The sequence below is a fragment of the Homo sapiens genome, chromosome 17 (assembly GCF_000001405.40).
Source record: "Homo sapiens chromosome 17, GRCh38.p14 Primary Assembly".
NCBI classification, from domain to species: domain Eukaryota; kingdom Metazoa; phylum Chordata; class Mammalia; order Primates; family Hominidae; genus Homo; species Homo sapiens.
Genome location: NC_000017.11, coordinates 78,315,039 through 78,340,857, shown reverse-complemented (window position 1 = coordinate 78,340,857; position 25,819 = coordinate 78,315,039). Strand labels below are relative to the sequence as shown.

Here is a 25,819-nt window from a genome sequence, read left to right as displayed (position 1 = left end):
TGCCCCCTTGCCCCACCAGAGTGAGTGACCACATCCACGGGTGGTGGCGGCTTGGTGGAAGAAGCTGTGGGTACTTGCATACGTGGCCCTGGTCGCCTTGGGTTCACCCTGTAACCTTAGGACCATATGCTGAACTCCTAGGGGCCACACTTTGCAGTCTGGCCCACATCAATGATTGCAAGGAGACAAAATATGTGCTGCACCATGAGAATGCAGGTCGCCCACATTTCACCCACAATCCAACCCACATCTCTCCCTCCCAAGCAAAAGATCTCCCTGGGATGGTGTCTGAGGATGCTCGGGGGAGAGGAGGAGGGCAGCTGACGCCCATCCATGCCCACTCTCTGCCAGGTGTTTTACATATGTCATGTTATTTAGCCTGGCCTCTCAAACTTTCACGTCAGCACCAATCACCTGGATCTTGTTAAACTGCAGACTGATTCATCTGGCTGGGGTGGGCCATGAGATGCTGCATTTCTGAGCAGCTCTAGGTAGACTCTATCTTGCCAGGACTCTGCCACACTGGAACTGGGAGGGGGAATCCACACAGCAGTTCTCTGAGCTCATCTGCCTGGTTTTCAAACGAAGAATCTGAGGTTTAGAGTCATTAAGAAGCTTGTTGAGCAGTCAGGCCAGCACCCTGACTGACTGGCCACAGAGAATGTCCCCCAGATCCTAAACCCACTCTCTATGACCCCAGAGAGTCTTCCCCAGGCAGTTTACACCCCTTAGCTTCCTTTTGTTTTTGAGGCAGGGTCTCCTTCTGTCACCCAGGCTGGAGTGCAGTGGCATGATCATAGCTCATTGCAGCCCCTGCCCCCTAGGCTCAATGGATCCTCCTGCCGCAACCTCCTGAATAGCTGGGACTACAGGCATGTGCCACCACACCTGGCTAATTTTTCTATTTTTTTGTAGAGACGGTGGGGGTGGGGGGGGGGTCTCCCTATGTTGCTTACACTGGTCTCGAACTCCTGGGCTCAAGCCATCCTCCCGCCTTAGCCTCCTAAAGTGCTGTGATTACAGGCATGAGCCACTGTGCCCAGTCATCCTTCCTTTTTAAAGAAAGTTGACTGAGCGAGGTGGCTGTTGCCTGTAATTTCAGCACTTTGGGAGGCAGAGGTGGGAGGATCACATGAAGCCATGAGTTTGAGACCAGTCTGGCCAACATGGTGAAACCCCATCTCTACTAAAAATACAAAAATTAGCCAGGCATGGTGGGGTCCACCTGTAGTCCCAGCTACTCAGGAGGCTGAGGCATGAGAATTGCTTGAACCCAGGAGGCAGAGGTTGCAGTAAGCTGAGATCGTGCCACTGCACTCCAGCCTGGGTGACAGAGTGAGACTCCATCTCAAAAAAAAAAAAAAAAAAAGTTATCACACTAATACATTGTATTACATGTGTACTAAATATATAGCTATCCTCAAGGAAAATTAATAAAATATTGAACTCATCCCCATGCCCAGTCCAACTAACTCAGTTCACTGCCCAGAAAAATAAATATTATCCACAAGTGGCTACTAATTCTTTAATTAACTAGATAGCTGAATTGAATAGTTTTATTTATAACTTGGATTATTGCTGTAGAATACGGGTTAAAAGGTTTGGCAAGAGCTACCCAAACTTGGGATGGAAATCTGCTGAGAGGAGCCTAGTCTGCTGAGAGAGAGAGAAAGAAAGTACCATTCAAATATGAGCCCAGGGAGAGGCAGGAAACCACTTTCTCCCCAGGACTCTGTACTACAATCTTTCAGGGCGTGCTGGACAGGTGAGGGGAAACCTAAACGCGCCAATGCCCTCCTTCATGAATAAGTAACAGCCGCCCAGTGCTTTGACTCATTCGTCAATAGAGAGTTCACTTCCTGACAAAGAAGCCAGCGCCTTCACACTCACATGTAAGTGACGGAGTAATCAATTGACGATTAATTACAGAGGAAGTTACCAGGAATATAGAATTGCTCTATCAAAATTCAGCGGCTAAGGCAGTATTTTTCAGGTGTGCTTCTGTTATGGAGATCAGACCTGCAGCTGAAATAAACCAGAGTGGTGGTGTTTCCTGAAAGAATATGTCTGCTCAATCTTGGGGGGCTTCCAGTTGGGGGGGGGAGCCTGGGAAGACTGGGTCAGATCCTGGTGTCATCATCCTCCGACTAGGCTGTCATTGTGTCATCTGTAAAACGAGGATGCTGACCTCTACAGAGGGCTCTGGTGAGGTCCCTGGGTTCCTGGCCTGACACATAGTGGGGGCTCAACTGGAGATTCTTCCTTCTCCTGTCACCTGCTCACCAGCACCCCCCTCTGACTGCCCCCAAACCCACTCCTCAATTCTGGAGTTGAAAGGAACCTTACAAGGCTGGTTTCTTTTACAGATGGGTACTTTGACAGACTTGGGTAATTGGGTAAAAGTCAGAGATCTCAATTTCTTTTTTAAGAGACAGGGTCAGCTGGACATGGTGGCTCATGCTTGTAATCCCAGGAATTTGGGAGGCTGAGGCAGGTGGATCACCTGTTCAAGACCAGCCTGGCCAACATGGTGAAACCCCATCTCTACTAAAATTACAAAAATTAGCCAGGCGTGGTGGCTTGCATCTGTAGTCCCAGCCACTGGGGAGATCTGAGGCAGGAGAATTGCTTGAACCCGGGAGGCGGAAGTTGCAGTGAGCCAAGATTGAGCCACTGCACTCCAGCCTGGGCGACAGAGCAAGACTCCATCTCAAGCAAAAAAGAGACAGGGTCTCACTTTGTCACCCAGGCTGGAGTGCAATGGTGTGATCATAGCTCACTGCAGTCTCAACCTCCTGAGTTCAAGTGATCCCCCAACCTCAGCCTCTCAAGTAGCTAGAACCACAGGTGTGCACTACCACGCCTGGCTGATTTTAATTTTTTTGCAGAGACGGGGGTCTCACTATGTTGCCCAGGCTGGTCTTGAACTCCTGGCCTTAAGTGATCCTCCGGCTTCGGCCTTCTGAAGTGCTGGGATTACAGGCATGAGCCACTGCACCCACCCAGTGATCTCATTTCTGAACAGGGAAGGGGCAGAGGGCCCACACAGGGAGTAGGGTTGGGGTAGAGTGAGAAGGGAAAGGAGAAGGGGAAGGTGACTGGGAATTCTCACCCATTCTCACTTCTGCTTTGTGGGTTAGAAACACTGAGCTGCCTCATCCTCCTGTCTCTGAACTTCCTTCACAGCCCATTGGGCCATTTGCATATGTCTCGTTGAAATTCCGGATCACGGCGTCACTGCCTCCTCCCCATGGCCCCCAGAGGGTGACCGGAGCATCACTAGGAGCCAAAGAATGGGGATGAGCAGTGCGGGGTAGTGTTGACCGCCCCAACTTTCCCATGGTGACTCACTCTTATTCAATAGACAGACCATTTTCCTAGAATGTTGCAACAGGGGTATTAGGGTTTTTCCAGAGCTTTCCACTCTCGATTACCCAACCCTGAGCCCCTCGCGTGGAACTCGAGGTGATCCCCGCTAGTGAGGGCTGGACATTTGCCTCTGGCCTTGGCATCCCCTTCATCTTGAACTTTCTCAAGGGGCAGAGCCAGCCTCCCGAGATGGGTTCTGTGCACCCCGGTTGTGCCCGCAGTAGGCTCCTGGACTGTTTTTCTTTCTTAATACATATTTGTTTAATGGATGGGATGACTGGAAATTACTTATCCCTGACGAAGAAACAGGAAGGCAAACAGTTTTACATTTCTTTTTACAAAAACTGTCTTGAGTTTTACCCTGTTCGTCTTTCTTCACTTTAGATTGTGAAGTTTCCAACTCTAACTCCTAAAAATCTTAGTGGAGAGATTCTAAACCCTTCGAGGGTGAGATCAAATCTCCTTCCTCCTTTCTCTCCCCAATCCCTGGTTCATAGTTATGTACTAGGTGCTTAATAGATCTTATTGTATTGGATTATTTTAAAAGTCATTATTTTATACAAAAGATTAGCTGTGCATAGTGGTGGGCGCCTGTAATCCCAGCTATTTGGGAGGCTGAAGCAGGAGAATCACTTGAACCCAAGAGGAGGAGGTTGCAGTGAGCCTGAGATCATGCCATTACGCTCCAGCCTGAGCAACAGAGTGAGACTCCATCTCAAAAAGAAAAAAAAAAAAGTTATTATTTTAAAAGTCAGCCGCTTATAGAGTCAGGCGTGTTAGGTATCATCAATGAAGCCTGGGCTGAGTTCAGGAATCCCGAACCTGTTTGGGTGCATTTGAGCTGATTGCCTTGTCAAAAAGTTCAGTAATGGCTCTGGCAAACTATGGCTTTGCGAGAGTTGGTGGAGGGGATTATAATGGTCTTTATTCCAAGGGAAAGTCTACTGCTTGAGCAGGGCACACCGGCTGGTGCCTGTAGTTCCAGGTACTCAGGAGGCCGAGGCAGGAGGATCACTTGAGCCCAGGACTTCAAGGCTGCAGTGAGTGAGCTACGATCAAGTCAATCCACTGTAGCCTGGGTGACAGAGCCAGACCCTGTCTCTCTGTCTTTCTCTCTCTTTTTTTGGGGGGGTGGGGCGGGATGGGATCTGGCTCTGTAGCCCAGGCTGGAGTGCAGTGGCAGGATCTCGGCTCACTACAACCTCCATCTCCCGATGGCGGTCTGGCCAGATGGGGTCTGGCTTTGTCACCCAGGCTGGAGTGCAGTGGCTTCATCTCTACTCACTGCAACCTCCATCAAGTGGTTCTCCTGCCTCAGCCTCCCTAGTAGCTGGGATTACAGGCGTGAGCCACCATGCCCGACCTAAGACCCTGTGTCTTAAATTTTTTTTTAAGTCTATTGTTTGAACCCCAGGAAAGGAATTTCATTGTGGGGTCACTCTTCATACAGGATGATTCCCTGTGAGTTTATAATAGCTCAGGAAGAGATACTGGAAATTATCACATAGGTACCCTATACTTTAGGGGAAATTTCTCCAAAAAGAAATGCTGGCCAAAAAAAGAAAGCTGTAGGTTCTAAAAAGGAAAATGGTAAGGTAGACCAAAAAAAATCCACAATTCAGACAATTCAATCACAAAAGATTTCTATGAGAAAGAGGCCAGGCATGGTGGCTCATGCCTGTAATCCCAGCACTTTGGGAGGCCCAGGCGGGTGGATCACCTGAGGTCAGGAGTTCGACACCAGCCTGAGCAACCTGGAGAAACCCCGTCTCTACTAAAAATAGAAAAAATTAGCTGGGTATGGTGGTGCACGCCTGTAATCCCAGCTACTCGGGAGGCTGAGGCAGGAGAATTGCTTGAACCCAGGAGGTGGAGGCTGCAGTGAGCCGAGATCACGCCATTGCATTCTAGCCTGGGCGACAACAGTGAAACTCCGTCTCGAAAAAAAAAAAAAGAGAAAGAAAGTTGGTAGGGGTACAAAATAAAGCACTGATACCTTCTAGGGAGCTGAGCTCATATTTCAAAAGGACAGAGAAGAGGGCAGGAGGGAGGGAGGACTCTCAACCACAAGTGAAGGCAAAAGAGCCCCTTGAGCCTGATGGGAGGGGCTGGGGTGCTATTAACCCTCAGCTCCCAATAAAACCTCTAAGAAAACAAAAATGGCTTGGAAGGTTGTAGTCACGGCTACAAGGACGAGCGAAGGACAGACCCAGTCCTTAGCTGAGAAGACCGAATCGTGTCAGATGACAGAAGAGGAAAGAGAATAAAGACCACCGTTATTGAGCGCCTATGTGTACTGGTGCATCCCCAACGCCTGTCCATCCTAAAGCTCTGTCCATCTCCCAACACAGACCAGGGGCAGTTGCTTCCTTCCTACCAGGGAGCAGCTCAGAGGCTAAGACCCTGCCACTGCTTGAAGCATCTCCCAGGGGAATGCAGATCTGCCCCAGGTTCTACCTGCTCCCCTGTCAAACTCCGAGAGAAAGTAGGGTGAGGGTAGGAGGGATCTGAAATCCAGGATGGGGAGGGCGAGCTGGGAAGCTCCACATTGACTTGAAAGTGGGCTGGGCAGCAGAGTGAGACGCTGTCTGGGTAGATGCCAGCCCCGGACTCTTGCTGGCTTTCACCCTTGGCCTGAGATGAGGAGAGGGACAGAAAGATGACAAACAAGGCCACTGTGGGCCAGAAACTAGACTGGGGAAACTAGAAACTCACGACTATGTTACTCACCCACAAAACACTGCAGTGAATCACTAAACAAATTCATATATTCTTGCCCTTAGTCAACAAATATCTATGGCATGTCCGTAAGTGCAAGTTATTGTGTTATAGGTATTAGGGATGCAATCTTAAATCAGGATGGGATCTTTCCTAAGGGATCTTAGTAGCTACAAGCAGGGAGATGACAGGACATAATTAATTTTATTTTATTTATTTCATTTATTTATTTTTTTTGAGACGGAGTCTCGCTCTGTCACCCAGGCTGGAGTGCAGTAGCATGATCTCGGCTCACTGCAAGCTCCTCCTCCCAGGTTGACGCCATTCTCTTGCCTCAGCCTCCCGAGTAGCTGGGAGCTACTGGTGGCGCCTGCCACCATGCCCGGCTAATTTTTTTGTATTTTTTTTTAGTAGAGATGGGGTTTCGCCCTGTTAGCCAGGATGGTCTTGATCTCCTGACCTCGTGATCTGCCCGCCTCAGCCTCCCAAAGTGATGGGATTACAGGCGTGCTACTGCACCTGGCCAGCGACAGGACATAATTATTGTAGTGGAAAATATGCTTACCAAAAAAGCACAGATAAAAAAAAAAAGCTACAGGGATTCAAGGGAGAAATAGGTCTTGAATAGTTAGAAAAAGGCTGACTATAGCATCTGAACGTATTTCAGGGAAGGAGCCAGACATGTTCATAACAGGCATATATAACAATGCTTATAAAGACAAAAAAATGGAATCCAGTAATATGGGATCTGTTGAATAGGATATGTCCACATAATGCAATACCACCCAGCTAATAGAAACAGTTTATGTAGCTGTACATATATATATTCAATCACATGTGAAGATAGTCATGAAATATGAGTAAATGAGAAAAGCAGATAACAAAAGAGTATTTAGAGACTGATTGCATTTTTATGAGTTTTTGGTATATGTAGTTCGAGATGCTTTTAGAAATTTCCAGAAATGGCAGTCTGCAGTGGCTCACTCCTAGCACTCTGGGTGGCCGAGGCAGGTGGATCACCTGAGGTCAGGAGTTTGAGACCAACCTGGCCAACATTATGAAACCTCATCTCTACTAAAAATACAAAAATTAGCCAGGTGTATGGCACACACCTGTAGTCCCAGGTACTCGGGAGGCTGAGGCAGGAGAATCGCTTGAACCCGGGGGGCAGAGGTTGCAGTGAGCCGAGATTGCGCCACTTCACTCCAGCCTGGGCGAAAGAGCGAAACTCCATCTCAAAAAAAAAAAAAAAAAAAAAAGAAACTTCCAGAAATACATACCAAAATGTTTGAAGTGCTTATCTCTGCATAGAGGGTTTTAGAATGCTTTCAGATTCTTTTTTCCTTTATCTGTATTTTGGTATTTTCATAAAACAAATGCAGGAATATACAAATCATCATTTTTTCAAAGGTAAAAACAAAACAAAACCCTATTTGCACCTCTGGCCTAAGTAACTCCTTTTTCCTTTGACAAGATTTTCAGATCATGGAAATGCTATGGGTATAGAATACCTTGATTTCACAGAACATTCAACTTCCTGTGATAGCCTTACACAAGACAGGAAACAAAGTAGCCTAGAAAACAGTTTAATGCGGCGGTGGCAGGTAGAAAGATTCACTAAAAACAAAACAAAAGGCCGTTGATAAGTAAACCAGTGCTCATCTAGAAGTAAGTCTCCAGAGATGTGCCACAGGGCTGTGACCTAGACCATGTCCTAGTTAACGTTTTTATCAATGACTTGAATGAAGACCATGATGTGATTGGATTTGCAGATAACACTGGAGAGTAACCCCCAGAAGGATGATAGGCTAGACCCACAGGTTGAACGACTCAGATGAAATTGAACAGGATTGAAAATCGAGTCCAGCAATCAGGTTACCCAGATGTCTCAGGACTGGGGGGCCTTCGAGGAGGACAGAAAGGCAGGGAAAGGGGTCTGAGGCTCAGAGCCGTGGGAGCAGCTGATGGAACCCAGGTTATTTACAGGAGAGAGAGAAGCTATGACGAGGTTCACCAGCTAGTTGACGATCAAGTGACTGTCAGCTAGTCAGGGAGATGGCTTCCCTCACCCAGATCAAAGAACACAGGGAAATAACTTTCCAGGAGGCCGATTTCAACTCAGTACAGTGACGGAAAAGAAAAACATCATTCACCAAGAGCCCTCCAAGTACCGGATTCTCAGAGGGGCATCTTTTCCAGCCTCCAAAGAGCCTCTCCCCTGGGGTGTTCACTGCCTCATCACACAGACCAGGTGAGGAAGAGTCACTCTGAACCCCCGGGGCCGTCCACTCAAAAACACCAGACTTCGGGAGGTACCACTAGGGACGCTGGATGGGACAACCCCAGGATCCCCACCAGCTCATTGGAAGCACAGAGGAAATGGGAAGTGACCCAGCAAAGTGGTGACCCTCGTCCTGCAGGTGCCGTCAGTAGGGGTGGACCCAGCACTGGCACACAGGAGGGGGACCACATTGGACTCGTAACAGCAGCCTGATGACAACACAGAGGAGGAAGGGGATCGAGGGAAGGCCAAGGGGGAGCAGAAAGGGAACTCGAAAGAGAGAAAGAGGGCCGGGTGCGGTAATCCCAGCATCTGCGGTCCCTCCTTAGGCTGCTGAGGCCAAGATGAGAGAGTCAAGATGAGGATCACTTGAGCCTCGCAGGCGGAGGTTGCAGTGAGCCAAGATCATGCCACTGCACTCCAGCCTGGGTGACAAAGCAAATCCGTTTCAAACAACAAAAACATTTTTTTTTTTTTTTGAGACGGAGTCTCGCTCTGTCACCCAGACTGGAGTGCAGTGGCGCGATCTCAGCTCACTGCAAGCTCTGCCTTCCGGGTTCACGCCATTCTCCTGCCTCTGCCTCCCGAGTAGCTGGGACAACAGGCGCCCACCACCACGCCCAGCTAATTATTTTGTATTTTTAGTAGAGATGAGCTTTCACTGTGTTGGCCAGAGATGGTCTCGATCTCCTGACCTCGTGATCCGCCCGCCTCAGCCTCCCAAAGTGCTGGGATTACAGGCGTGAGCCACCGTGCCCGGCCAAACAACAAAAACATTAGTCAGGTATGCTGGCGGGTGCCTGTAATCCCAGGTACTCAGGAGGCTGAGGCAGGAGAATTGCTTGAACCTGGGAGGCGGAGGTTGCAGTAAGCGGAGATCACGCCACTGCTCTCCAGCCTGGGCAACAGAGCGAGACTGTCTCAAAACCAAACAAACAAAAACAGGCTGGGTGCAGTGGTTCACGCCTGTAATCCTAGCACTTTGGGAGGCCTAGGTGGGCGGATCACTTGAGGTCAGGAGTTCAAGTTTAGCCTGGCCAACATGGCGAAACTCCATCTCTACAAAAATACAAAAAAAAAAAAAAAAAAATTAACTGGGCATGGTGACGTGCACCTGTAATCTCAGCTAGCTACTCAGGGAACTGAGGCAGGAGAATCGCTTGAATCCGGGAGGCAGAGGTTGCAGTGAGTCGAGATGGCACCACTGCACTCCAGCCTGGGCAACAGAGCAAGACTCGGTCTCAAAAACAGAACAAAACAAAAACAAAAACAAAAAGAAAAAAAGAAAAGAAAGAGAGAGAGGAGCAAAGGGAAACACACAGGAGGAGGAAAGTTATGAACAGATCAGGAAAAGGGAGGCCAGAGAGAGACGGCGAGGCCTGCAAGGGAGAATCCGGGAGACAGGAGCCGGCACGTGGTAGTGGAGGAAGGGATCTGCCCAGTGTTTGTTGACAAGGAGCCGTGGGGGTAAGAGGGAGGGGCAGGAGGCTCCACTGGGATGGGGCAGGGTTTGCTGCAGAGGCTGGTGCTTTGCCCAGAGCCACCTGCAGAGGATTTGAACCCATCGGGCACTCAGTCCACTTGTGAGTCATGCCTGAACACTCCTGATATGTCAGGGGCTGCCAGGACGGCTTTAGAAAGTGAGGAGGCCGCAGTCCTGGCCAGCCTGCCAGATTTGCCATCCAGCGAGGTGAACGCCCATTAACTGTCAAAATGCACAGCACAGCCATCCTGAGGTGGGATATGGGCAGGACCAACGTGGGAGTCAGGAAGGCCTGAGTTCAAATCCCGACTTCACCACTTCATGCTGTGTGACCTCAGGCAAGTTCCTGAACCTCTCTGAGCCTTAGTTTCCTTCTCTGTTGTGAGGATGTGAAACAGCAGATGTACAAGCACTGGGTCATCCTCCCACCAAATGTGAGCACGGCCTTAACGTTAAAGGGAGCAACCCCGGCCCTAAGTGCTCCTGGAGTCTGCAGAAGAGAAGTTGCAGAGGTCAGGACGTCTTAGAGGAGGGACATAGTCTCGTCCCCTAAGCAGCAGGGTTCATTCACTACCTGTTCTTTTTTTTTTTTTTAGATGGAGTCTTGCTCTGTCTCCCAGGCTGGAGTGCAGTGGTGTGACCTCGGCTCACTGCAAGCTCCACCTCCCGGGTTCACGCCATTCTCCTGCCTCAGCCTCCCAAGTAGCTGGGACTATAGGCGCCCGCCACCATGCCCAGCTAATTTTTTAAAATATTTTTTGTAGAGATGGGGTCTCACTGTGTTGCCCAGGCTGCTCTCTAACTCCTGAGCTCAACTGATCCACCTGTCTCGGCCTCCCAAAGTGCTGAGACTACAGGCGTGAGCCACCGCATCTAGCCTCAATCACGAACAGTTCTAAAGGTGTTAGTTTTGAGCCTACCGATGAGACAGTAGACAAGTCACTGGCACCAACCAGTGGAACTTGAGCCTGAACAGCCTGGAAGCGGCTGGGCCCCAGGGAACTGAGCCTTTGGCGGTCTGCATGCCTGCTGAGTGCTAACAAGGCCCCCCGGAGAAGGTGCATGGCTGGGGGCAGCCAGCAGGGTGGGAGACCTTGGCAGCTGTTGCCGGCTTTGCAGACAGTGGGGAATTCTTACAGAGTGTCCAGCACTGTGCACATGCCCACAAGTGGCTGGAAAACTCTGCAGGCTGTGGTCAGAGCTGGCAGAGGGTAGATTTTGCCGGCCCCAAGAGGGCGAGGCGGGGCCCCCACCCCAGCTGAGTGCTCCAGGCCCCCCACCATCTAGGGCAGCCCTCCTTGGGGCTTGCCACTGTGGGGTGCAAATCCTCCTCTCTTACAGGCCATCACTGGCCTGGGGCCTGAGCTGCTATCCCGGCCTCCACAAAGGAGGGGACCAAGCCACCCCGTGAGTCACTGTGCCCACTTCCTGCCACATGGAACCCGTGGCTGAGTCACCGGCCCCCCAAAGGGAAAGACTGGCCACAAGGCCGGAAAGCTGGAGCCCAATGGTGGCAGGAGTGGGGAGCTGGCGCTGCAGTCCCGTAACTCCCTTTTCCCTGGGCTACGTTCCTCCTGTGGAACCCAGAGTCCTCCCAGCAGCACCCATCCACCTACCGCCAGCAGGACTGGCTCTTTGCTGGTACTTTCTCCCCCAGCAATAATGGTTGCATCATACCCTTAAAAACAAAACAAAAAAACCCCCAACTTTTTATTTTGAAATCATTTCAGGCTTACAGAAAAGTTGCAAAAATACTACAAAGAATGTTCATATAACCTTCACCCAGATTCCCCAAATGTGAACATTTTACCACATTTGTATTAATTTTCTCTCTCTCCCTCTATCCTCATTTTTTTCTTTCTTTTTTGTTTTTTGTTTTGAGACAGAGTCTTGCAGGCTGAAGTGCAGTGGGTGTGATCAAGGCTCACTGCAGCCTCGACTTCCCAAGCTCAAGCGATCCTCCCACCTCAGCCTCTTAATAGCTGGGACTACAGGTGTGAATCACCACAGCCAGCTAATTTTTTTGTGTGTAGAGGCAGAGTCTCACTATGCTGCCCAGGCTGGTCTCAAACTCCTGGCCTCAAACAATCCTCCTGCCTCAGCCTTTCAAAGTGCTGGGATTACAGGTGCGAGCCACAGTACCCTCTCCCAATTTTTTTCTAAGACATTTCAGCATAAGTCACAGGCGTGATGCCTCTTTACCTCGAAATACTTCCATGTGTGTTTGTTTCTTTCTTTCTTTACTTATTTATTTATTTATTTTTTGAGACAGGGTCTGGCCCTGTTGCCCAGGGTGGCGTGCGGTGGTGCTATCACAGCCCACTGCACCTTCGATCTCCGAGGCTCAAGCAATCCTCTCACCTCAGCCTCCTGAGCAGCTGGGACTACAGACTTATGCCACCACGCCAAGCTAATTTTTTTTTGAGACGGAATCTCACTCTGTCGCCAGCCTGGAGTGCAGTGTACGATCTCAGCTCACTGCAACTTCACCTCTTGGGTTCAAGCGATTCTCCTGCCTCAGCCTCCTATGTAGCTGAGATTACAGGTACCCACCACCATACCCGGCTAATTTTTGTATTTTTAGTAGAGATGGAGTTTCACCATGTTGGCCAGGCTGGTCTTGAACTCTGGGCCTCAAGTGATCCACCCACCTCGGCCTCCCAAAGTGCTGGGATTACAGGCGTGAGCCACCGCGCCTGGCCTTAGTGTGCATTTCCTAAAAATAAGGGCATTTTCTTACAGAATCACTGTACAGTGATCAGCCTCAGGAAAGGCACTTGCATTGGACACTTTTTATGCACCATCTAAGGTGCTCCTCACTTTACCTGCCTCTAGGGCCAGCCCTGGGAGGGGTTCCAGGCTGTACCTGGCCACTTGTGGTGTCCCTGCTGCTGCTGAGCCTGAAACGCTGAGGAGCCGCTAGGCGCAGTGAGGCCTGGGCTGTGAAGGCACTGTAGAGGTACCTTTGACTAATGGAGATGGGAACCATGGATACATTCTCCCTTCCTCCTGGCATTTATCCTCAGATCCAGGTTATTCTGTCTCTTGGAAGATATCCCGGGAGACAACAGCCAGTCACATTAGATACTCAGGGGCAGGGCTGTCACGCACACATTAGATACTCAGGGGCAGGGCTGTCAACGCACACATTAGATACTCAGGGGCAGGGCTGTCACGCAGGGCCCCACACTCAGTGCTTGGGCGTTTAATGCTCTACAGTCACCTTGAAATTATTATTTATTTATTTATTTTTTTGGTGAGACAGAGTGTCTCCCTGTCGCCCAGGCTGGAGTGCAGTCGTGCGATCTCGGCTCACTGCAACCTCTGCCTCCCAGATTCAGGCAAGTCTCCTGCTTCAGCCTCCTGAGTAGCTGGGATTACAGGTGCCCGCCACCACGCCTGGCTAATTTTTTTTTTTTTTTTTTTTGAGACGGAGTCTCCCTCTGTCGCCCAGGCTGGAGTGCAGTGGTGTGATCTCGGCTCACTGCAAGCTCCGCCTCCCGGGTTCACGCCATTCTCCTGCCTCAGCCTCCCGAGTAGCTGGGACTACAGGCGCCTGCCACCACTTCTGGCTAATTGTTTTTGTATTTTTAGTAGAGACGGGGTTTCACCGTGTTAGCCAGGATGGTCTTGATCTCCTGACCTCATGATCCACCCACCTCAGCCTCCCAAAGTGCTGGGATTATAGGCGTGAGCCACCACGCCCAGCTTAATTTTTGTATTTTTAGTAGAGATGGGGTTTCACCATGTTGGTCAGGCTGGTCTCGAACTCCTGACCTCGTGATCCACCCACCTCGGCCTCCCAAAGTGCTGGCATTACAGGCATGAGCCACCAGGCCCGGCCGTGAAATTCTTAATTTTATCTTGAAAAATTTGAAATTGGCTGAGCACAGTGGCTCACGCCTGTAATCCCAGCACTTTGGGAGGCCGAGGCAGGTAGATCACTTGAGGTTGGAAGTTCAAGACCAGCTTGGCCAATATGGTGAAACCCTGTCTCTACTAAAAATATAAAAATTAGCTGGGCATGGTGGCGGGCACCTGTAATCCCAGCTACTTGGAGGCTGAGGCAGGAGGATCGCTTGAAACCAGGAGGTTGCAGTGAGCCAAGATTGGGCCACTGCATTCCAGCCTGGGTGACAGAGCGAGACTCCATCTCAAAAATAAAAAAAGAGAAAGAAAAATATGGCCAGGCGTGGTGGCTCATGCCTGTAATCCCAGCGCTTTGGGAGGCCAAGGTGGGCGGATCACCTGAGGTCAGGAGTTCAAGACCAGCCTGGCTAACATGGTGAAACCCCCTCTCTACTAAAAATACAAAAACTAGACAGGCATGGTGGCAGGTACCGGTAATCCCAGCTACTCTGGAGGCTGAGGCAGGAGAAGCGCTTGAACCTGGGAAGCGGAGGTTGCAGTGAGCTGAAATCATGCCACTGTACTCCAGCCTGGGTGACAGAGCGAGACTCCATCTGAAAAAAAAAAAAAATTTGAAATTGAATTTCAAATTGAAACTTGTGATTTGTAAGTCGAGTCTGATGGGACAATGGAGCCAGCACAGGGGGCTTGGAGCCTCGGCTTTCACGTGGCCTAGCCTCCTGCCATCCAGGGGCAGGTTCTCGGATGCTGGCTTCCTATCCCCCACCCAGAAAACCTGCCACCCTCTCCCATTGTTGGGGTCTGGACAGAGGTGGAGGGAGAGTCACACCCCATGCACCTCTGAGGGTCTGCACCTATCGTGGGTTCCCGCAAGCGCCAGCTGAGGTCGTTGTTATACCCATTTTCCTGCCAAGGTCCAGGTTTGCTGGACCAAAGAAGGCCCAGCCAGTGTTTCTGCTTTGGACAGAAGCTTGCCCCTTGCCCCGGCAGCCTGACTGCCCCTGCTGCCCTTGCTTCTGTCCTTGTGCACTGCACTGAGATGGCAAATTCCTACGTGTCCTGCTCTCTGGGGACACAGGGCCCTGTGGGATGTGGAAGCACAGCCTCCGCCTGCCTGAGCCAACTGAATAATCGCAACAGTGGTACTTTCCTTGTTTCTGAAGCCACTTGCCACGCAAAACCCCTAGCACTTTGTAGGCATCATCTCCAGTGGGTCCTGTTACCCTGCCACTCATTTCACTGATGATATAAACAAGTGTCAGAGAGATTAACCCATCCAAGTCAGCCACTAATTAGTAGAGCTGGATTCAAATCCAGTTCTTCCTGTTCCAACGCCAAAGCTCTAACTTGGACATTCACTCGGTTGTTAATTAGGTAGCTGCTTTGATCATCTGGAAACAGTAATGGATCTACGTCTTTGAACCACATGAGAATTGTGGACACAGGAAAAGGTGTTGGACATGGACTTGGGAGTTAGGCAGGGTGAGGCCCCTGGAATGATGCTGGTGCTTCGGCCAGGTGGGCCTGGGGCAGGCTCTCCGCCGTGGCCAAGCGGGGGTTGGGCCTGGGCCGGGGCCAGTCCTGTGTTCTTCCCATGGCCCAGTTCCCCCAGCCAGGCAAAGCAGGTCTGAGTCATCGGCCATCGGAGTCCCCGTCCCTGACTCCTCGCTCGTACATCGTGCATTCCCGTCCTTGGTCCTTGGCTCACGGCAAAACGCTTCTAGCTTCTTAGCTCGCCCCACCCTCTTCCCTGAAATAAAGAAGTTTCAAGCTGGGAAGGAGGTCACTGAATCTAAGCTTTTCAGTTTGCAAACTGAGGGCCCAGGGTTCTGATAGAGGTCCCAGTGGATTGGAAAATGTCTGGGCTTGCCTCCTGGGGTGGAATCTTGTCTCTGCCACCAAGTCCCTGTAAGCCCTGGGCCGATTAACCTCTCTGAGTCTGAACATTCTCCCAAAGGGGGCTGATCATCGCAGTATGATCATGGCATCTTCACCGTAGGGTGCAGAATCACTGGGAGCGTGAACTCCAGGAGTGTTCTGACGCAAAGACCCAGGAATTGCTCCTGACACTCTGCGTAGATCAGCTCATTACCCACTCAACAAATCCCCGCCGCACAGAGGGGTATCAGAGACTTTCAGTAACCTCTCTAAGGCAACCTAGCAAGCAAAGCAAAGCTGAGGTCTACCAGATGACTGAGCAGAACCTCTGCCCTTCTCTCCAGACACTGGCCCCAGAGGAGCCATGAGTACTGGCCACATGCCTGGAGCTCCCGGAGTCCACGGCTGCAGCCGTCCAGCACCGGGGCCAGCCCCGAGAGAGGAGCAAGGAAACCGACCCCCTCCAGATCAACAAAGCACTTCCTCCCCGAAGCCCGGGCCCAGGAGGAGGAGGTGCCGCACACACAACTGTTTATAGAGACAGATGTTTGGGACGGAAAAAGAGAGACAGCCCTCCTCCATCCCCATGGAGACAGAGGAAGTTTGCAACTTGGGCAGTGGCAACTGGAACTGAAAAAGGAGAAGGGGAAAAAAAGGGAGGGAGGCAGGTCTGACCCACTGGAAACAGTTTGACATTTTCAGATGCTGGTGCCTAACAAAGGGGCGTTGCCAAGGCAACCGGGCCTGTGGGCACAGGGCTGCCAATCCCAGCTGGATCTGGGGCCAGAGCCAGGGAGATGGCAAGGAGACAGATAAGGGCACGTGGGGGGACGACAGAGAAATTCCACCGGAGAGCAAAGAAATAAGCAAATACACAAGTGGCGCTTCTCAGCCCGGCTTCCCCTCACAAAGTGGCGCCCTGTCCCTCCTCTCTCCTTCCCTCCTCTCCCACTTCCTCCTTCCTTCCTCTCTCCTTTCTCCCTTCTTTATTTTATTCCTTCCCCCCTCTACCCTTCTATCCATCTTTCCTCCCTCTCTCCTTCCCTCTCTCTCTCCCCTCCCTCCCTCCCTCCCTTCCTTCCTTCCTTCCACTCTCCCTCTTTCCTTCCTACTTGCTCTGCAAGTGTTCAGCATTGCCCCTGCCCCCAGCCTAGGAAACATGTCCCCATCCTCCTGGTGACAGCTGGCAGGTGGCTCTGCATATGACTGATACCAGAGGGCTGCTTTTGCCCATAGAGTGAGGCCTTCAGGAGGGGCCAGCATGACCACATTGGCTTTCACTGGCTGGAGACCCTGGGCAGTTCAGCTGCAGTCACAGGAAGGAGAGAGAAGAGGGCTTTGGGGCCTCTTCTAAAGAACAACATCTGGAGCCGGGCACGGCAGCTCATGCCTGTAATCCCAGCACTTTAGGAGGCCGAGGCAGGCGGATCATGAGGTCAGGAGTTCGAGACCAGCCTGGCCAACGTGGCGAACCCCGTCTCTACCAAAAATACAAAAATTAGCTGGGTGTGGTGGCGGGTGCCTGTAATCCCAGCTACTCGGGAGGCTGAGGCAGGAGAATCGCTTGAACCCAGGAGTCAGAGGGAGTCAGAGGTTGCAGTGAGCCAAGATCGTGTGCCATTATACTCCAGCCTGGGCAACAAGAGCAAGACTTCATCTTAAAAAAAAAAAAAAAAAAAAAAAAGAACCACATCTGGTTCCTTGTAATTCTTCTGCCTGTTCCCCCAGCAGAGCCAGCCTGGCTGCCTGTGGCAGGGCCCTGCTTCTTCGGCCTCTGGATGGGAGGTGATGATCACTGATATTGGTGACGCTGTCATCTCATGGCCCCCAAAGCTGTGAGGCCCTATGTGGAATTCTATACCTGCACTTACGCCCATGCCAACTGTCCCTGGACCCTGCCGCACCCAGGCTCCCCTCCCCAGAACCCGAGCCTTCTCCTCCCGCTCAGCCAGATGACCTGGTCTGTTTCCTCCCTCCAGGGGATGAGGGAGGGGGACTTCCGATGAACTCTGGCCGCGTGATGGGAATCCCTGAAGCCAGGATGTTCTGTGGGAAAGAACTGGAAGGGAGTGCTGAGCCGAGTGACCCCGCTGGTCCTGGGGCCACTGCCTCAAATCCAAAGGAGAGGGCCACCCCCATCCCCAACCTCAGAAACCTCCTGAGATACCCCGTGATTGGGAGGGAGCCCACAGCTGCACACCGTGTACATCAGGCCCAGCCCAGGAGCACGCCCCAATTCCCAGGCTGACGCTGGGAGTGGGAGGGTGCCGGGCAGTCATCCTCCTCTGACGCATGGGGAGATGAAGGCCTGGCAGAGATGGTCTGGCTGGAGGCTGAGTGGAGCAGGGCTGAGAAGAGGCTGAGACCATGGGGACATGTCCACAGCTGGGGGTGGGGCAGGGGAGAGAGCAGTTACTGGCCCCAGCTGGGCTAAGTGATGGCTCCAAAGGAAGGCTCAGGAAGGGTGGGCCAGGGACTACAGAATCAGAGTCACTAACTCTAGCCCTGACCTGGGATGACTGAGAAGGCAGGACTCAATCCCTGAAGACCAGGAGTCATAAGCCCAGTCCTAGAAATGACTCGTAAAGAATGCTGCTCCACAGAAGGGCAGGGGCCTTTCGGTGGATGGAGGTCAAGGAGCACCCCCGTCAGTTCCCAAGCAAGCCTGAGACCAGGGATGGAGGCAGGCTGGGCTCCCTGGACCCCTGGAACAGCCCGGTCTCATCCCCTAAAGCCCTGGACCAGTGGACAGAGGCCAGGCTCTCCAGCTGCCCAGCTGCCCGGAAAACAGTGTGCGGACTCCCTTTGTGCCTCTGCCTCAGCCAGCGGGGTGACATTGGACAAGTTGCTTAACCTCTCTAGACTTCAACTACCTTGTCTATAAAATGGGAATAATAGGCCGGGCACGGTGGCTCATGCCTGTAATCCCAGCACTTTGGGAGACCGAGGTTGGCGGATCACAAGGTCAGGAGATCGAGACCATCCTGGCTAACATGGTGAAACCCCGTCTCTACTAAAAAAAATACAAAAAATTAGCCGGGCGTGGTGGCAGGCGCCTATAGTCCCAGCTACTTTGGAGGCTGAGGCAGGAGAATCACTTGAACCCAGGAGGCAGAGCTTGCAGTGAGCCGTGATCACGACACTGCACTCCAGCCTGGGCAACAGAGCAAGACTCCATCTCAAAATAAATAAATAAATAAAAATAAATTTAAAAAATGGGAATAATATGCCTGGTGTGGGGGCTCACGCCTGAAATCTCAGCACTTTGGGAGGCCAAGGTGGGTGGATCACCTGAGGTTAGGAGTTCGAGACCAGCCTGGCCAACACAGTGAAACCGTCTCTACTAAAAACAGAAAAATTAGCCAGGCGTGGTGGTGCACTCCTGTAGTCCCAGCTACTCAGGAGGCTGGGGCAGGAGAATTGGGAGGCGGAGGTTGCAGTGAGCTGAGATGGTGCCAGTGCACTCCAGCCTGGACAACAGAGCGAGACTCTGTCTCAAACAAAACAAAACAAAACAAAACAAAAACAGGGATGGGGATAATTGCTATGCTTTGCTCAGACATTGTGAAGATCAAAGGAGACAATGTGTAGGAAGCACCTTTAATCAACAAACTAGTAGGCCAGGTGCAGTGGCTCACACCTGCAATCCCAGAACTTCGGGAGGCTGAGGCAGGAGGATTGCTTGAGCCCAGGAGTTCAAGACCATCCTGGGCAACAAGTGAGACCTCATCTCTGTAAAAAATAGAAAAAATAAGGGCTGGGCACAGTGGCTCACGCCTGTAATCCCAGCATTTTGGGAGGCCGAGGCGGGTGGATCACTTGAGGTCAGGAGTTTGAGACCAGCCAGACCAAAATGGTGAAACCCCGTCTCTACCAAAAATACAAAAATTAGCTAGGCATGGTGGCTCGTGCCTGTAATCCCAGCTACTTGGGAGGCTGAGGCAGGAGAATTGCTTGAAACTGGGAGGGGGAGGTTGCGGTGAGCCGAGATCACGCCACTGCACTCCAGCCTGGGTGACAGAGCAAGACACTGTCTCAGAAAAAAAAAAAAAAAGAAAACATAGAAAAAATTTGCCAGGTGTGGTGGTGCCTGCCTGTAGTCCCAGCTACTTGGGAGGCTAGGGCCGGAGGATTGCTTGGGCCTGGGAGGTCAAGGCTGCAGTAAGACGTGGTCTGTCACTCCAGCCTGGGTGACGGAGTGAGACCCTGTCTCAAAACAAAACAAACTGTTGTTGAGCACCTAGGGTGCTAGGCGGCCTGCCAGAAGAGAGGCAGTACAGGTCTTATGGGGCATCTCACCTGGTCCGGGAAGGGAGGCTTCCGCTGAACCTTGAGAGAGTTCCCCAATGGAGCAGCCTAGTACAGGGGTCAGCAAACCTCCACCACTGCCCCCAGGCTAAATCCAACGTGCTGCCTGTTTTTGTTCAGCCCGCAAAAAATGGTTTTTACAGGCCTGGCGCGGTGGCTTACACCTGTAATCCCAGCACTTTGGGAGGCCGAGGTGGGTGGATCACGAGGTCAGGAGTTCAAAACCAGCCTGGCCAACATGGTGAAACCCCATCTCTATTCAAAAATATAAAAATTAGCCCGGCATCGTGGTGCGTGCCTGTAATCCCAGCTACTCGGGAGGCTGAGGCTGAGGCAGGAGAATGGCTTGACCCCGGGAGGTGGAAGTTGTGGTGAGCCGAGACTGTGCCACTGCACGCCAGCCTGGGCAACAGAGCAAGATTCCACTAAAAAAAAAATGGTTTTTACACGTTTTAGTTTCTTTTTTTTTTTTGAGACAGGGTCTCACTCTGTTGCCCAGGCTGGAGTGCAGTGGTGCGATCTCAGCTGACTGCAACCTCTGCCTCTGAGTCCAAGTGATTCTCATGCCTCAGTCTCCCAAGTAGCTGGGACTATAGGCGTGTGCCACCACATCTGGCTAATTTTTTTTCTATTTTTAGTAGAGACAGGGTTTCACCATGTTGGCCAGACTGGTCTCGAACTCCTGGCCTCAAATGATCTGCCCATCCCGGCCTCCCAAAGTGCTGGGATTACAGGTGTGAGCCACCGCACTCGGCCTACATGTTTTAATTTTAATTTTAATTATTTTTTTGAGACAGGTTCCCGCTCTGTTGCCCAGGCTGCAGCGCAGTGGTGTGATCATGGCTCACTGCTGCCTTGACCTCCTGGGCTCAAGGGGTCCTCTTGCCTCAGCCTCCTTGACTAGCTTGGACCACAGGTGTGCACCACCATGCCTGACTAATTTCTTCATTTTTTGTAAAGACGGAATCCCACTGTGTTTCCCAGGCTGATCTTGAACTCCTGGGCTCAAGTGATCCTCCCGCCTTGGCCTCCCAAAGTGCTGGGATTACAGACGTAAACCACTGTGCCTGGCTGGTTTTTACATTTTTAAGTGGTTGAAAAACCAAGCAAAAGAAAAAAGAATATTTCATGATGTGAAAATCACACGGAATTCAAGTTGCAGTGTGCGTACGCAGTTGTGTTGGAACACAGCCATACTCACTTGTTCGTGAGTGGTCCATGGCTGCTTCCTCACTAAGCAGAGGCTGAAATATTTACTACCTGGCCCTTTTCAGAGAAAGTTTGCTGCCCTCTGGCCTAGGGGAAGCACATGCAAAACCAGCGGGCAAAAGACTACAAGGTTCTGGGCATTGGCAGAAGCCGACTGCAGCTGGAGCAGAGAAGGGAAGGCAGGTGTTGGGAGCGGGCGGGACAGAGGCCACAGAGGCCACCAGCTCCTGACACCAAAGAGGGCCCTGCCATTCCCACCCAGGAGAGGGCAGAGGTCAAGCGGCGGGGGGTGGGCTCTGTCTAGTGGCCACCATCCAGGTGCCCTCCTGCCCAAGCCTCCCAGGCAAGCAGGGAGGAGAGAAGGGACTAGGGAGGAACAGAGAGCGCCCCAACTGTGTATCCACAGGGAGCAGCAGACAGCATGGAAGCCTCCAAATCAGGACACCCCGATCCTTCTCCATGGAAACTGGGGGATGCCTCTCTTCTGTGGGGCTTGACTACCCCTCCCTTGCCCCATGGAGCCAAGACAGGCTTGGGGCTCAGGGATCGGGGTTTGGGGAGGGGCTGCTGTCCTAACTCTAACCCCCCCCACACACTCCCCCGCTACATCCCCACCGCCTGCCACCAGCGAGGCCCGTGGGGTCCTCCCTCCACCTCTCTTCTGTGAAGAGAGCAGAGAGAGTGATGGAGTCTGGGGCGGGTCCACATCTGGCTGAGGGGTGCTGAGGTCACAGCTGGGACCCACATGGCCCTTTGGTGGGGAGAGGAGCTGCCACCAAGGAGGATGAGGAGCCAGAGAGCATTGTTGGGGCTCCTGTGGGAGGCTGGGACCATAGAATGCTCTCAGGGGACCCCTGGACACTTACGGGGCTGCCCAGGCGATCTCTCTGGGGGAAGGTCGTGCCCATTCCAATCCCAGCACACTTTGGTGGGATGACACATGCACACCCAACCCAGAGGGAGCTGCTAGGCTTCTCCCCTGGGTGAGGGTGGCGGTCGGGCTGGGGTCCCTCTCTACCTGGACGGATGCTTCTCTGAGATAGATTCCGGGGGTTGGTTTTTCTTTCCCGGCCTTTTCCTCACTCTGCCCAGATCTGCAAACCCGGAGCTGGGGCTGGTCTGCTCCTCATTTGTCTCTGAGTTCCCTTCCAGAGTCGGGTCCTTAGGCAGCTGCCTAAGGACTGGCCTCCCAGGGTCACCCTCTGATGCATCTGGGACCAGTTGGAGTGGCTCTGGAAATATCCCCCCTTCCTCAGTCATCTCCACACTCCCCAGAATTGGGGTGGAGTTTCAGAGGTGGGGTGGAGGTGCTGGTGGGAGTACGGAAGAAAAAGGAGGCTGGGAGCAGCCTCCACTGTCCTCCTCTCCGGCCCTAGCACGCACTGCTTGCACCTGTGTTGGGTGCCCCTGTCCGGAAGACAACACACGGAGGGCACCTGAGTGGATGCGGGAGGCCAGCTGGGCTTGCTCAGGTGGGAAGTCAGGGAATCTGGGGGAGGCTGCAGGCTAAGTGGTTCTGGGGTGGGTGACGTCGTGGGAAATGCGTGTCTATCCCTCTGCCGGGCACACAGAGAACAGACTCCTCCAGTGAGTCCAGCAGGGCAGGGTGTGCTTGCCAGAGCACAGGCCAAGCTTCCTGCCAGCCAGGACTGCAGAGGGTCCCCCTTCTTCCCTCTCTCCTCCTCACCACACCTGCAAAGTGTGGGACCTGCTAGCTCAGTCCTCATTCCTTCCCTCCTTTTTCTCTCCCTACCTGTCCACCTTCCCCTGGCCTGGTGCTGGGAGGTCCTCTTCAGCCAGGCTGAGGCTGGCAGCCTCGTCTCCAGCCCCCTCCTCTGGCAGCCACAGCTAACTCTTGGCTCACACACCCACCTGGCTCCTTCACCCAGGGGAGCCCCACCTCCCAGCCATCCCTGGGTCTAGGATCCAGAATGCTCAATCCTGGATGTCGCCTCACTTTGCATTGAACCTTCCAGCCAAGGTCCCCACCCTTGCCCTTCCCTGTTCCTCCCTCCCACTCTCTGAACTTCCTAAAGCCCCTCCCCTCCCTGCCTGCAAGTCACCTGACTGGGAGGCCAGCCCTACCCAGATTCCCCACCCCAACTCTCCCAGCTCTGAAAACAAGAAGTGCTGTCCCTGCACTGCAAACCCCCACCTGGTCCCGGTCCACACATTCCAGCCATGCCGCTCAGGCAGTCATGCTCCTATAAACACGTACACACTCACACACGTGCACACATACGCACATATGTACATGCACAGCGCACACATGCACAATCACACAGGTATGCGTGTGCATCTGTGCATACACGTGTGCGCCCTCGTGCACACGCATACATGTGCATATTCACATTCTCACACACACATGCACACTCACATGCACACACGCACACGCACTCTTGAACCACCTGAACAGTTTTACACCCCATGCTTCTTCCTCTCAGGCTTGCGAAGTGCTACTTCCTATATCTTAAATCCCCTCCAGGGACCTGCAATTATGACTTGGGGTCACCATTAGCTCACCCAAGGCTCCTTCCAGAGCAGAACCCCCACCCCACCCTTCAGATCAGTTATACTTCCCTGCTCCCAAGAACTGACATATACTTTAGAATATATATAGCTGAGCTTAAAAAAAAAAAAGAAAAAAGAAAAAACCCTATTACTGTCGGATATTGGTTAATGATTGGTGAGGGAGTTGGAGGGGGAGAAATCCCCGCCCACAAGGCTCAGTTTCACTGGGAAAGGGACTTTCCTTAGAAGGAACCAAGACGTCTTGTATCATCAGCTCTTAACGATTTGGGAAGGGAAGCTAAATAGCTCTTTCCTGTAATTCGAACAACTAAATTATTCATCGAGAGCTGCAGACAGAGATTGGACAGTGACCCGAGAGGCAGGAGACCCCAGCCCAGCCCCATGACCCAGGCACAGGGCCACCTCCCCGGCTCCTGAGGGGCCAGTGCCCGAATTAGAGGGGTCTGGAAAGTGAGCGGCCCCAGGGGTCCCAGAGGGTGGTGGGAGAGCCTGGATTCTAGCTGGGAGATGGGGGAGGAGGGAGACAGGAGAGAGTCAAAGGGCCCTGGCACTCAGGGACTTGTCCAGATGGGAAGGGGCCTGAGTGGCTTCCCCTTGCTGTACCCCCTGCGGCCTGGAGCCCCTCCCCTGACCTTGGGCTGTTGGGGTGAAGCAGGCACGCCCAGAATCCTCCCTCAAGATATGGCCTGGCCTCCTTCTGCCACAGGAGGCTTGGAATGGGGAGGCAGGGAACAAGGGACAACCAAGCTTGTCCCTCAAATTCAAAACAGCCCGCAGTTCACTCCCCTTGATGCCCGGTTCTGGGCAGGGGAGACATGGCTGGGTGAGAAACACCGCCCCGAAGCTCCTGCTCCACCACGCACTCGCCCTCAGCGTGCAGGCCTTGTGCTCCGAGCCGGGAGGGAGGCAGAGACGGCATTGGCTTGGAATGGGATCCTCAAGCATCGTTCTCTGTTGGGGGCCCAGCTCTGTCCATCCGGGGGAACCAACCACAGGAGCAGGGGCTGGGGAAGGGGACCCAGGCGCGGCCGTGGCTGGCCACATCCCGGCACAAGTCTCCTTTTCCAACAAGAAAGGGCTCTGGGAGGAGAGACCTAGGCCTTCTCTGCCTCCCCACTCCCTCCCGTGGTGCACAGTGCCTGGACTTGGTAGGTGCTCTGTAAACACCAAAGGAGCCAGTGGGTGCACAGATCGAGGCTGGACAGACAGACAGATGCAGGGAGGGAAACGATAAGGGGCAGGAAGTGAGTGGGTGCGCGTGTGTGAGGACTGAGATTCAGTGAGTTCGGTGAGGGAAAAAGTCAACAGGGGACCAGAGGAAAAGTAAAAGAGAAAGAGAGAGACCCAGGAGGAGGAGGAGGAGCAGGGCAGGAGGCCCTTTTGGAAACTGGAGCCCCGGGGGGCAGCACGTGCTGACTCACCGCCCGCCTTCCATTTTCCCTGTTTCCTGGGGATTCTCATTTTATTTTCGGGAAAGCTGCCTGCTCTGTGACTAATTTGTTCTTAAACAAACCAAACCCAGGCAGTGGGGAGGCTGGGCGGGGCCTGAGTCACTCTCTACCCAGGGGGGGACCACACCTCAGGGGGTGGCCTCCCCCACACTCCTGAGGGTTTCCCAGCCTTGGCCTGCAGGTGACTCCACTGCTCCTCAGAGACACAGTGCCCACTCCTGACAGGGACACCCTGGGCTGCAAAGAACCCCAGGCTGCTGAGCAAGCTCCTTGGTTATCCACAGCCTAAAACCATGCCTGGCACAGAGGCCATGCTCAGTTTGTGTTTGTTGACTGACTGTCTGACTGACCAACTCTGATTCCTCACTCTCCTCTCCCACTAACTCCTCCTTGAACCCTACCTTTCCCACAGGCCCTCGGCTGCATGACATGGACTTTACTAATGACCACCCTTTACCGGAACCATAATCTCTGCCAAACCCCAGGATAAATGGGTTCTTTCTCTGAATCTGCAGGACCCTGCAGGACCCTGCCTGGCCTCTGGGGTGTGTTCCTAACCACTTTGCCTTCTGGGTTCACTCAGGGCTGTCATCCCCCCGCCTATCTGTGCCCATCTGGCAGCAGAGCAGATCAGGAGGGCAGCCTGCAGCCCCCAGGCCCACCTCCGGGCAAGAGGGAGATGCCACTCCCTTTATTTTACAGAAGAAGAAACTGAGGCTC

The 25,819-nt window shown here is 52.7% G+C and overlaps 1 long non-coding RNA gene across 1 annotated transcript in view, besides 11 other annotated features; it reads right to left on the bottom strand.

Moving 5' to 3' along the window:
* The window catches only part of LOC105371912 (uncharacterized), a 30,662-nt gene extending 5,520 nt beyond the window's left edge, over positions 1-25,142 (bottom strand). The window contains exon 1 of the long non-coding RNA NR_188632.1: positions 25,070-25,142. This is a non-coding gene — a long non-coding RNA (uncharacterized LOC105371912). The remainder of the gene's footprint in view (positions 1-25,069) is intronic.
* Positions 1,766-1,875: a silencer, noted in NCBI's record as "silent region_9058". NCBI's record gives its function as "represses an Ori minimal core promoter by ATAC-STARR-seq in GM12878 lymphoblastoid cells {active_cell/tissue: GM12878}" and the evidence as "EXISTENCE:reporter gene assay evidence [ECO:0000049][PMID:35858748]".
* Positions 15,261-15,802: an enhancer, noted in NCBI's record as "H3K27ac-H3K4me1 hESC enhancer chr17:76321137-76321678 (GRCh37/hg19 assembly coordinates)". NCBI's record gives its function as "activates a minimal SCP1, AML or CMV promoter by ChIP-STARR-seq in naive H9 embryonic stem cells {active_cell/tissue: H9 hESC(naive)}" and the evidence as "EXISTENCE:reporter gene assay evidence [ECO:0000049][PMID:30033119]".
* Positions 15,803-16,346: an enhancer, noted in NCBI's record as "H3K27ac-H3K4me1 hESC enhancer chr17:76320593-76321136 (GRCh37/hg19 assembly coordinates)". NCBI's record gives its function as "activates a minimal SCP1, AML or CMV promoter by ChIP-STARR-seq in naive H9 embryonic stem cells {active_cell/tissue: H9 hESC(naive)}" and the evidence as "EXISTENCE:reporter gene assay evidence [ECO:0000049][PMID:30033119]".
* Positions 16,347-16,888: an enhancer, noted in NCBI's record as "H3K27ac-H3K4me1 hESC enhancer chr17:76320051-76320592 (GRCh37/hg19 assembly coordinates)". NCBI's record gives its function as "activates a minimal SCP1, AML or CMV promoter by ChIP-STARR-seq in naive H9 embryonic stem cells {active_cell/tissue: H9 hESC(naive)}" and the evidence as "EXISTENCE:reporter gene assay evidence [ECO:0000049][PMID:30033119]".
* Positions 17,976-18,519: an enhancer, noted in NCBI's record as "H3K4me1 hESC enhancer chr17:76318420-76318963 (GRCh37/hg19 assembly coordinates)". NCBI's record gives its function as "activates a minimal SCP1, AML or CMV promoter by ChIP-STARR-seq in naive H9 embryonic stem cells {active_cell/tissue: H9 hESC(naive)}" and the evidence as "EXISTENCE:reporter gene assay evidence [ECO:0000049][PMID:30033119]".
* Positions 23,036-23,330: an enhancer, noted in NCBI's record as "tiled region #775; HepG2 Activating DNase unmatched - State 4:PromP, and K562 Activating DNase unmatched - State 5:Enh". NCBI's record gives its function as "activates a minimal TATA promoter and a strong SV40 promoter by Sharpr-MPRA in HepG2 and K562 cells {active_cell/tissue: HepG2 | K562}" and the evidence as "EXISTENCE:reporter gene assay evidence [ECO:0000049][PMID:27701403]".
* Positions 23,762-23,831: an enhancer, noted in NCBI's record as "active region_12890". NCBI's record gives its function as "activates an Ori minimal core promoter by ATAC-STARR-seq in GM12878 lymphoblastoid cells {active_cell/tissue: GM12878}" and the evidence as "EXISTENCE:reporter gene assay evidence [ECO:0000049][PMID:35858748]".
* Positions 24,967-25,725: an enhancer, noted in NCBI's record as "H3K27ac-H3K4me1 hESC enhancer chr17:76311214-76311972 (GRCh37/hg19 assembly coordinates)". NCBI's record gives its function as "activates a minimal SCP1, AML or CMV promoter by ChIP-STARR-seq in naive H9 embryonic stem cells {active_cell/tissue: H9 hESC(naive)}" and the evidence as "EXISTENCE:reporter gene assay evidence [ECO:0000049][PMID:30033119]".
* Positions 24,996-25,290: an enhancer, noted in NCBI's record as "tiled region #6493; HepG2 Activating non-DNase unmatched - State 4:PromP, and K562 Activating DNase unmatched - State 5:Enh". NCBI's record gives its function as "activates a minimal TATA promoter and a strong SV40 promoter by Sharpr-MPRA in HepG2 and K562 cells {active_cell/tissue: HepG2 | K562}" and the evidence as "EXISTENCE:reporter gene assay evidence [ECO:0000049][PMID:27701403]".
* Positions 25,134-25,183: a silencer, noted in NCBI's record as "silent region_9057". NCBI's record gives its function as "represses an Ori minimal core promoter by ATAC-STARR-seq in GM12878 lymphoblastoid cells {active_cell/tissue: GM12878}" and the evidence as "EXISTENCE:reporter gene assay evidence [ECO:0000049][PMID:35858748]".
* Positions 25,254-25,453: an enhancer, noted in NCBI's record as "active region_12889". NCBI's record gives its function as "activates an Ori minimal core promoter by ATAC-STARR-seq in GM12878 lymphoblastoid cells {active_cell/tissue: GM12878}" and the evidence as "EXISTENCE:reporter gene assay evidence [ECO:0000049][PMID:35858748]".